Source organism: Homo sapiens, chromosome 6 (assembly GCF_000001405.40).
Source record: "Homo sapiens chromosome 6, GRCh38.p14 Primary Assembly".
Classification (NCBI taxonomy): domain Eukaryota; kingdom Metazoa; phylum Chordata; class Mammalia; order Primates; family Hominidae; genus Homo; species Homo sapiens.
The window spans coordinates 28,337,255-28,348,830 of record NC_000006.12 but is presented as its reverse complement, the minus strand read 5'-3'; the positions used below and the strand labels follow the sequence as shown (position 1 = coordinate 28,348,830).

The 11,576-nt window shown below is 39.7% G+C and overlaps 1 protein-coding gene across 12 annotated transcripts in view; it reads left to right on the top strand.

Moving 5' to 3' along the window:
* The window catches only part of ZSCAN31 (zinc finger and SCAN domain containing 31), a 31,535-nt gene that overhangs the window by 7,441 nt on the left and 12,518 nt on the right, over window positions 1-11,576 (top strand). For 2 of the 12 annotated variants that reach the window (NM_001135215.1, XM_047419254.1), the window contains one exon: window positions 7,036-7,085. The exons of 7 other annotated variants lie outside the window; for them this stretch is intronic. The gene's annotated coding sequence lies outside the window, so the exon portion shown is untranslated. Of the gene's footprint in view, window positions 1-7,035; window positions 7,086-10,937; window positions 11,076-11,576 lie in introns of those variants that run through there. 3 more of the 12 variants (NM_145909.3, XM_047419255.1, XM_047419253.1) reach the window with 3 other exon arrangements.

Sequence of the window (11,576 nt, the reverse complement as noted above, 5' to 3'; positions counted from 1 at the left end):
AAAGATATCATTCCTTCCTAAATTGATACACAAATCCAGTACAAAGCAAATCAAGATTCCAATTGTGCTCAGTGGAACTTGACTAGTTGATTTTAAATGTATATGGAATAATGAAAGAGTCACGAATCCGAGACATTTTTAAAACAAATGAAGGAGCTGCAGAAACTTGCCCTATATAATTTATTATAAAATTATAGCAGCTAAGACAATATAGTATTGGCACAACTACAGACAAATAGACCAATGAAACAGAACTGAGGACTGAGCAACAAACATGTATGTGTGGATGCTTGATATATGGTGGAAATTGCATTACAAATCAGTGAGGAATAAAGGAGCTACTTGACAAATAGTACTGTAATATTTGGATATCTAAATGGAAAAATGAAATAAAATTGGGTTTCTACTTTATATGTTGCACAAAAAATCAATTCCAGTCAGCTAACTTTCAGACTTTTAAAAGAAAATTTAGAATAATTGCTCTTTTTTCTATTCACAAGTTTGCTTCTATAGAATCATTTTTTTATGAGCTCAAGTAAAACAAGATTTCTTTTAAACTGCATAAACATACAAACTATAAGGAAAACAATAAATAAATTTGACCTCATTAAAAATTAAAACTATATCAAAAGATACTAGAAACTAATGGTAAAGACAATTAAATTAAAAGGTTGGGAGAAGATATTTGCAACACATATAGTCAACAAAGGATCAGTCCACTGAATATATAATAAACATCTACAAATGAATAAGAGAGAAAAAAGCCAACAATCATACAGAAAAAAAATGGCAAAAAATATGCACAGGCAATTCCCAGAGAGGAATCTCGAATGACCAATAAACATAGCATATACAGTTAATCATTAGCAATTAAATAAAGGCAAATTTTAAATCATTTTATACCAACACCTGAGTAATAACATTTGCTGATAAGAATGTGAAAATTTTGAGACTGTCATACACAGTTGCTGGGACTATAAATTGGTACACTCATCTAAAAAAGCAATTTTGAAATATATAGTAAAGTTGAAATATATGGTAAACCTGAAAATGATACACACATTGGCCCAGCAGCTTCAAAGTACTTACCCTGTAGGAGCTCTTGTACATAAACAAAAATGTTAATTGACTAGTCTAGGCCAGACATAGCTTTAGATGCTCAGGATATAACAAGGGCAATAAAAGGTAAAGACCCCTGTTCTCATAGAGCTAATGTTCCAGGGGAGACTGAGCCAAAAAAATAATAATAATAAACAAAAACAAACAAAAGAATTAAGCAGAATAAATAAATACATAAACTGGAATGGAAGTTGATAAGCACTGCGATTTTTAAAAAGGGGAAGGAGAGGAAGAAAAAGAAGAAAATCAGGGTAGAGAGATCAGAAGTCCTGGCATGAGAGGGGGCTAACTGCAATACAAATAAGATGGTGTAAGTCTAGTGACATTCTGGCCAAGATCTGAAGGAGATGAAGGGGTTAGCCCTGTGCATATCTAAGGAAGTGTTCCCGGTAGAGGAAACAGCAAGGGAGCCAGATTGGCTGAGGTGGAGTGAACAAGAGAGGGTATCAGAGATAAGGTTACTCTGGGATTTTTAAGCAAGAATTTTACTGAGCTGTGCTTTCAGGAATAACACAAGAAGTTAAAGAAATAGGGCTAGGCAGAGTAGTTGAACTGTGGTGCAGTTACAAGAGAGGCTCCAGCTGATCCTCTCAGGAGCTCAAGGGATGGGACAGTCCTTAAGAATTGCCTTGCCTTGATGTAAGGGGTATAAGGTGGAAGGAAGGTAACCTTCTGTGAGGCAACTTTTTGACCAAGGAAAATTCCCAGAGACAGGCTCAATTAAGAGACATCAGCTACCTACTCTCCTGTTCGTTTGGTATAGTAAGAAATGGAAATAACTATTCCAGAATTATTCTTTCTTTCTGAGGAAATTTATAAGAATAGATTAGTAGAAAGATTTACAGTTCCTAGTGTTGTAGCATATCTTAAAGTCATAAAGGATATTTACTGTCTCTCTCCTCTACTATCCATTCTAGATTCCCCTCATCCTTTACTATCATCTTTGTTCATTTAGGTAGTTTACCTTGTAGGTGACCAAAACACTCTGGTAACTATGTTCCTCTCAATTGTGGCTGCTGCACTTGTCCATTTAATAATAAAGACTGTACCAAGGAGGCTGAGTGCCGTGCCTCACACCTGTAATCCCAGCACTTTGAGAGGCTGAGATGGGTGGATCACTTGAGGTCAGGAGTTCAAGACTAGCCTGGACAACATGGTGAAACCCCGTCTCTACTAAAACTACAAAAATTAGCAGGTGTGGTAGTGGGTGCCTGTAATCCCAGCTACTCAGGAGGCTGAGACATGAGAATCGCTTGAACCTGGGAGGCAGAGGTTGTAGTGAGCTGAGATCACGCCATTGCACACTGCACTCCAGCCTGGGAGACAGAGAGTGAGACTCAGTTTAAAAAAAAAAAAAAAAAAAAAAAAAGATTGTACTGAGGAGAAGCAAGAAGCAAGAGAACACCTAATGGATAACTTGAGTGACAAACTTCATTTTTCCCTGTCCCCACTGTGTAACAGCAGCCTTACCTTCTCTTGATATTGGAACCATCAACTTCTGCCAGGGTGGTGACTCCTCTTCTTGTGTGCTGATGTCAGAAAAAGGAGGCAAAAAAATCTGTGTGGCAGCCCTACCTTTCCATTTACAGGGACTCCCTGTTTGTCATGGTGAAAGTGTTCTTCTAGGAATAAAGACTTTTGAACTCACGGAGCCTAGAATCAAGAGGGTACATAGAAAGCACATCTTTCCCTATGTGGGTCTCTAGGAGTGAGGGAATTCAGAGCTACTTCTACCTCTACTCCTTTGTTCCCAGGCACGCATAGTTGCATACTAGGAAACAAACACTACATAATAATTATTGTCTTAGGGTGTTTATACTTTGCTCTGGAGGATGACACCCCATTGTTTCAGGGTATCATATGTAAGTTGGCACTTTAGCTATGCTTTCAAAGGTTGTTCCATTGCTCTATCTGGCCAGCATGTTCCTGGTGGCTAAGTGTGTGATAGAACCAGTGGATCCCATGGTCATGTGCTCACTGCTACACCTCCTTTGAACCCATGTAAAGTTATGCCAGATCCTATGTCAGTGGATCAATGATTCTGTATGTTCTTGGATAATAGTACTAGCTGAGTCCTATGACCAGAAAAGGCAAACCCACACCTAGAATATGTGTTAATTCTAGTCAAAATGAATCACTTGCCACTGATGGGATTGGTCCCCTCATGATGTTGTATCATATCAATACTCAATATTAATTTTTGTTGCAAGTAAGTTGGACATTCAGTTGTAGCCAGGCACCACTGAGCGGGGAGGGACCATGCTGTTAGGCATAGATAGCCTCCATCTCTGCTGCTATGTTTACCTTGTCCATGAGTCCATCCTGCCAGCACTGGGGTAGCTAATGATGGAGGCTGGTTAATATAAACCAGCAAGGTCATTCTGTCTGCTTATTTGTTCATTGCCTTTTCCATGGTGAATATTCTATAATGAGTTTTAATGTGTACAGGGACTTTCTTCCCACTCTTATAGGTCCATCCACATGACTCTTTCCCAGACCTCTTTGTTTTCAATCTTCCAATCATTTTTCTTTTCTTTTCTTTTTCTTTTTCTTTTTTTTTTTTTTTTGAGACACAGTTTCACTGCGTTGCCTGGGTTGGAGTGCAATGGTGCAATCTCAGCTCACTGCAACCTCTGCCTCCTAGGTTCAAGCAATTCTTTTGCCTCAGCCCCCTGTGTAGCTGGGACTACAGGTACATGCCACCATGCCGGCTAATTTTTTCTTTTTTTTTTTTTTGTAGTTTTAGTAGAGAACGGGTTTTGCCATGTTGACCAGACTGATCTGGAGTTCCCGACCTCAAGTGATCCACCTGCCTTGGCATCCCAAAGTGCTGGGATTACAGGCGTGAGCCACCATGTCTGGCCCAATTTTTTTCTTCTAGTTCCCTAAAAACCAGCAAGACATTCATCATTACCCTAAATGTACTATATATATTTTTACCTGTAGCCACAAAGATAACTAAGTGCACCTAACTAGGTGTACCATTCAAAACTCTGCCCACTGGGTGGAATTCCCTTGACTACTAATGCCAGGATCACATCTGAGAGGAGTTCTAAGATAGCCACCATCCATTTTCAGCCTTTAGTAACATACCATGATACTTAATCCAAATAATCCAAACTCAGTATTTTTCCTCCTTTGTCAATTAGTCATAAGGAACCTCCACCAATCACAACTATCACACACTCAGATAGTCACAGGGATGAGCTCAAAGATAGGTGCTAGTGTGGTTGAGATGGATGACAGGAACATGTGGGCCACCCACTCAGAAAGCTTATCTGTCCTCTAGTCCTGCACATGTCCAGTGCTGAACATACCACACACATCTTATGATGCACTGTTGCTGGACCCATCCAATCTGATATCTTGGTGGATCTGATAGAACTATAATAATTCTTCATTGAATATATCATTGAAGATATATTGGAACCATCAACTCCTGCCAAGGTAGTGACTCCTTTTCTTGTCTGCTGATGTCTTAGAAAAAGGAGGCCAAAAAACCCGTGTGACAGCCCTACCTTTCCACTTACATCTTCATTGAATATATTTCCCTGCTTCTGTAGAAAATGTATCTTATCAAGGCCTCCAACATATCACATTTTGCTCATGTGGTCTGAATAATACATTATCAGTAGAGTGAACCAATATAACACCCTTAGAATTGTATCTTTAGTCCAGATCCCTTCTGACTATAATATGATAAGGGGCAGGAGAGATAACATAGCCCCTGGGAAACAACCAGAAATGGAAACCTTTGTCCATCTTTTCATGCTTTTGTTCCTCCTTTCTAAGAGGGATGGAAAAGAATGCATTTACCAAATCAATGACTACACATTATATACCTGAGGTCATATTAATCTGTTATAGAAAATATACTGCATATAGGCCAGGCACAGTGGCTCACACCTGTAATCCCAACACTTTGGGAGGCCAAGGCGGGCGGATCATGAGGTCAGGAGATCAAGACTATCCTGGCTAACACGGTGAAACCCCGTTTCTACTAAACGAAATACAAAATATTAGCCGGGCATGGTGGTGGGCGCCTGTAGTCCCAGCAGGAGAATGGCGTGAACCCGGGAGGCAGAGCTTGCAGTGAGCCGAGATCCCGCGACTGCACTCCAGCCTGGGCGACAGAGCGAGACTCCATCTCAAAAAAAAAAAAAAAAAAAGAAAGAAAAAAAAAAAGAAAAGAAAATATGCAGCATATAGCATTGTAGCTGCAACTGGGGCTACTAGTTGGTTGAGTTTGCAGTAGTTAACTGTCATTCTTTAGAGTCTGCCTGGCTTTGTAGGGGGCTGGTGAGAAAAGGTGGGGGATGATCATGTCTACCACCCTTCATTCTTTTCATCTTTAAGATTGATATTAACCTTTCCACTCCCATTGGGATGCAAAAAATTTTTTTCTGAGTACTCTTTTGTCTGGGGAATGGGTAGCAGTTTCAGAAACTACCACTTGGCTTTTTCCAGTACAATAATTCTATAATAAACCCTAGCCCAAATGATCAATATGGGGTTACTCCAACTCAAATATGTTCATTCCAGTTTTATATTCAGAAATGAGAGAAATGATCAATGCAGGCAGAGAGTGTCTGTGGACCCACTATGAGCCTTATCTGGGCCAGAACTTTATTTCTTATCTGGCCCCTATATGACCACATCCTAACAGGGGGCCACAATGACACTCTGGGTACCTAGGTATCAATGTCAACTCACACTGTGTAAAAGGTTCATCCTAAAAAGCTTTGGATATTCCCCCTTTCTCCAATATATATCTAACTAAATAAATGTCCTGACTGCAGTCTCTCTGTAGAAGAGTTGGAGAAATGTTCCATATGCTATTTGGTTTAGTGCTACATGGTCTTTCCTCTTCGGGACACAGCCAGTTCTGAGAACTAGCTGTAGTCCAAAAACTGCAGAAGGACTTGAGATGTTTTATTATGATAGTTGCCCTCAGCCTTATCACTTACCCTTGATTTTTAAAAAAGTACTGTGGATCAAACAATAGCCATCTGTATATAAGCAACATCTCCCAGGGCCCTTGCCAGAATATTAAATCATAGTAGAGTGCCTCTATCTTGATACACTCTTTCTTATCCAACTTTATATATCAGATTCCTGTTGATCCAGCTCTCTTAGGATCCAATTCTATATGTGTGTTCCTAGGTTCTGACACTACATGTTGGCTAGGTCCTACTGCAACTTTGGTAGATAGTGTTTTTACTCCCTTTGCAGACCCAGTACTTATCTAGCCAGATTTTGCTGTGATGTAACCCTAGGAACTAACGTAGTGTCCAGGTGTGGTGGTGGGGTGTGTCCTGAGCAGGCACATCATCTTCAAGCAAGTAGAGAACACTAGGGAGGAATGGGATACTTTTGAAGGTCCACAGGGTTCAGGAGAATCTGAGGAGTCGAGACTTTTTGGTGCTTTGGCCTAGATATCCCTATCCTAAATCGCAGAGTTCCATTCCTTTCCAATTAGCTCTCTGGCATTAGCTTAGCAGGCCTGCTGGATGTGACATCTTTTCTCGAGCTCTGCCACACATTCAGGTGAGCCCCAGGCCTGATCCTCAGCCTTTGCTGCCCTTCTGGCTGAAGGAGACTCTTTATATGGTGTCAGGGATGTCTCTGAATTTTTCACTTTGCCTTACATTCATAATCACCCAATTCCATTGCCTTCTTCCAATGCATCTGTGGTCCTCAAAAACAACTGTACTATTTCAAAGTCATTATAAATACGTTTTCTACCTAAATTCTAAAAAAAAAATTAGAAGAACATTCCTTCTAGGGCCTTTTGTGTTCCTACACATCTTACAGTGTATGCCAACAACGCAAAGCCCTGACCATTCTTTTGCCCACGCCATTTCTCAGGGTTGTTTATGCAGGTTGTAAGCTACCCCAACTTTTCTTTGTTTTTAGCAGACCCCAGGCATCCAAACCATGACAGTTCCATCAGCTCTCCAAATGAGGTAAGATAGAAACCAGTCCCTTGGGCCACCCTCCAAAGAGCCAGAACAGAGGATGCATGCTCCAATTTTTTCTTTCTCCCAAGGAAGAAGTCATAAGCCAAGACATTCTCTCCTAGCTCTGAGCTGTGCCCACTTGGGGGAAGGGCTGACATGAGTCCTATGGTCTGAAGTTTGTGTTCCCCCAAAATTCTTATGTTTAAACCTAGCCCCTAAGGTGATGGCATTAAAAGGTGAGGACTTGGGAGTGATTAGGTAATGAGAGTTCTGCCCTCATGAATGGGGTTAGCGCCCTATAAGAAAAGGCTAGAGGGAGCCTGTTTGCCCCATCCACCAGAAGAGGACACATAGAAGGCACCATATCTATAAAGTAGAGAGAAGCTTTCACTCTATGCCAAATCTGCTATTGCCTTGGCCTTGGACTTCTCAGCCTTCAGGACTGTGAGCAACGAATTTCTATTGTTTATAAATTACTCAGTTTAAGGTATTTTGTTACAGCAGCCTGAATAGACTAAGACATTGTGTAAAGTGAAATTTCAATGTAGCTGTTTTGGATTTGAGCTCACCTGGGGTACTGCAACTTTTTAACTTGATTCTGGAATTCTCATAAGGATATATTGATCCATATATAATTGTTAATCAGCGTTTCTGCAGGGGAACAGGGCTAATACTTCCTATTCTGCCATCTTTCTCTTGTAACTCCTAACCCAGAATTTTAAATCCAGTGGAAATGTCCTTCAAAAATAAGAGTGAAATAAAGACATTTTCTATTAAATGATAGCTGAAAAATACTTCTCCAGCAGACTTGCACCTGCACTGCAAGCCAACCAACCAAACCAAAACCAAAACCAAACCCTAAAGAAAAACAAAAAACTTCAGTCTGAAGGGAAGTGACAGCTGGAAACTCAGATCTACAAGAAGGAATTAAGAGCATCAGAATGGTGAATATGTATGTGAATATAAAAGCCTTGCTTTTTAGTTAATTTCCTTAAAAAACAAGTGATCATTTAAAGCAAAAATAATATCATTTTAAGCTGGCAGTTATAATGTACAGAGAAGTAAAATATATAAGAATACTACAAAAGATGGGTGTTTTAGTCTGTTGTCATGCTGCTATAAAGAAATACCCAAGACTGGGTAATTTATAAAGAGAGGAGGTTTAATTGACTCACAGTTCAGCATGGCTGGGGAGACCTCAGGAAACTTACAATCATGGCAGAAGGAGAAGCAACATGTTCTTCTTCACATGGCAGCAGGAGAGAGAAGAAGAGAACAGAGTGAAGGGGGAAACCCCTTATAAAACCTCAGATCTCATAAGACCTTAGTATCATGAGAATAGCAAGGAGAAAACCGCCCCCATGATTCAATTATTTCCCACTGGGCCCTTCCCACCACATGTGGGGATTATGGGAACAATTCAAGATGACATTTGGGTGGGGACACAGCAAAACCATATCAATGGGCAAGAGCAAAGGAATAATAGTGTCATAAGTTTCTGTCTATATGTGAAATGTAAATTGTTAAATATGCAACTAAGACTAAAATGTGAAGTGATACAATATTATTTCCAATTAGGCTGTGATAAATTAAAGATGGGTATTGTAATTACTGTAACAGTCATCAGATTCCTATCTATTTCCACTGCAGCACTTAACTTATTCAGAAGTGGGTTTATGATTAAGTCTATAAAGTGTAAGTGATTCTACATTTGCATGTTTCTTCAAATGCCCTGGCCTGGAATGATACCTAGCAATGTGTTTACATGGTTCATATGCTTGTAAAATTTGAGGGGAAAAAATGGATTCTACACTTGCAGTTTCTTCAAATGCCCTGGCCTGGAATGATACCTAGCAATGTGTTTACATGGTTCATATGCCTGCAAAATTTGAGGGGAAAAAATGGATATTTTAGCAACAGGTGTTTAAACCACTGTTTGTTTCCATTTCTGACTCCCCATCTCTTATTTTTCTCTTGTTGAGTGGCACTGAAATAACAATAGAGAATTTTAGCATCTGGTAAGGGGACACTATCTTAGAAATAAGTCATTTTAACTACAATTTGAAAAGATATTTTGGCATGATTTAAGCAATAAATGCTAAATTACAAAATTAAATAATTTATTAAAGAACTGAGAGCAAATTTAAATTTAAAAATTAATGGAGGCTAGGCGTGGTGGCTCATGCCTGTAATCCCAGCACATTGGAAGGCCAAGGTGGGCAGATCACCTGAGGTCAGGAGTTTGAGACCAGCCTGGCCAACACGGCGAAACCCCGTCTCTACTAAAAATACAAAATTTGCCAGGCGTGGTGGCACATGCCTGTAATCCCAGATACTCGAGGTATGAGAATCGCTTGAACCTGGGAGGCAGAAGTTGCAGTGAGCTGAGATCGAGCCACTGCACTCCATCCTGGGAAATAGAGCATGACTCCTTCCCCACTCCCCTGCCAAAAAAAATTAATGGAATGTGAGAAACAAAAGAAATAAAGATAATAAAATCAATGGAAATTATTCTGACATCAGGAAGCAAATTATAACAAAAGAAACAATGTCAAATTATATAAAATCAGCAACTCATTAAGAAAAAAAGCTAAACTTTGAATACAGTAAAAAAATATGCTCTTGGATTAATTCTCTAGTGAAGAAAAGTGAATCACTGAACACATTGAAAAGAGATTTAAATTTCTTGCACATTTTACATAAAATACTGATATTGACAAAGACATCATAATATGCCATTGACAATGAGGACATCTAAGACCAACTAGTTAATGTGTCATCAACACAGAGATTCTCAGATTAGTCCCCACATAAAAAAATTTGAATGTCCTGAAATCTTGTAGCTCATAATTGAAAGAAACTTGATAGAAGTTTACTCAAATGTCAACAATTTTAAAAAGCTTTTGATCAACCATGCTAGAGGAATGGCTACATTAACTTTTTATTCTTTCTAGAAAAATTTAAATTATGAAATTAACATACAAAGAAGCAGTCCAAGAACATAAAGCCAACAAATTAGGGGAGAGTTACTATAGAGGAGTCAGGCAGTTAAATAATAAAAATATTTTGTTATTTTTCTGATTTTTGTTTGTGATATTTGGAAGACTTTAAAATTTGTAGTATAGCTGGATGTGGTGGCAGCAGCTCACACCTTTAATCCCAGCATTTTGGGAGGCAGAAGCAAGAGGATTGCTTGAGCACAGGAGTTTAAGGTTGCAGTGATCACACCACTCCACCCCAGCTTAGTTGACAGAACGAGACCCTGTTCTGTCTCGTTTTGTAATTGTAATTATCATTACAATTACAAAAAAAATTGTAATGTGATGTAAAGAATGTATTTTCCATTCTATATTTATTTATTTATTTTTCGAGATGGGATCTCACTCTGTCAGCCACGCTGGAGTGCAGTGGCACAATCTCAGCTCACTGAAAACCCCACCTTCCAGGCTCAAGCAATCCTCCCACCTCAGACCCACAGGCATGTGCCACAATGCCTGGCTAATTTTTGTATTTTGGGTAGAGATGGGGTTTCACCACGTTGCCCAGGCTGGTCTTGAACTCCTGAGCTCATGCAATCTGCCTGCCTCAGCCTCCCAATGTGCTAGGATTATAGGCGTGAACCACCACGCCTGGCCTATTTTCCATTCTAAATCTCCATTTTTGTTTTTTTTCTTTTTCCTTCTTTATTTATTTATTTATTTAATTTTGGAGACAGGGTCTCAGTCTGTCACTCAAGCTAGAGTGCAGTGGCACGATCATGGCTACTGCAGCTGGTGATTATCCCTGCTCAGCCTCCCCAGTAGCTGAGACTAATAGCATGAGTAACTGTGCCTGGATAATATTTTTTATTTTTTGCAGAGACAGAGTCTCACTATGTCGCCCAGGCTTGTCTTGAACTCCTGGACTCAAGAGATCCTCCCATCTCGGCCTCTCAAAGTGTTGGGATTACAGGCGTGAGCTATTACACCTGACTTAAGTCTCCATTTTCATATCTATGTTTGTACTTGTAATTTTGTATTCCTTTTCTCAAATAAGGTCTCTTGAATTGTATAAGCTGGGTCTCTTTCTGTCTGTATTCCTTGTTACATTATAAACCCCATGAGGATGAGGACCTTGTGTCCTTCATTATTATTATATCCAGCAAGCCCTTGGCACAAAGATCGCATTCAATGGGAATCTATATAATTAATGAATGAGTTGTAAAAAATCAATTCAACCTCTTAACATGTATTATCTGTCTTCTCTATTTCTATTGCTACTGCCTTGATTCAGGCCCTCACTCTCTCTACCCTGGATTCTTGTAGTAGTCTCCTAGCTGGTCTCCCTGCCTGTAGTCTCATTTCCTTACAGTCCATCCCCACATGGCTGCCAAGATAACATTTCTAGATGTAAATTTGATCAGACTGCTCAAATTCCTTGGTTAGGGATCCAAAAAAAGTAAGAGCTGGTGCCCCTGCCACATATACCACTCTCCAGTCATGCTGATCAGCCCAGTTC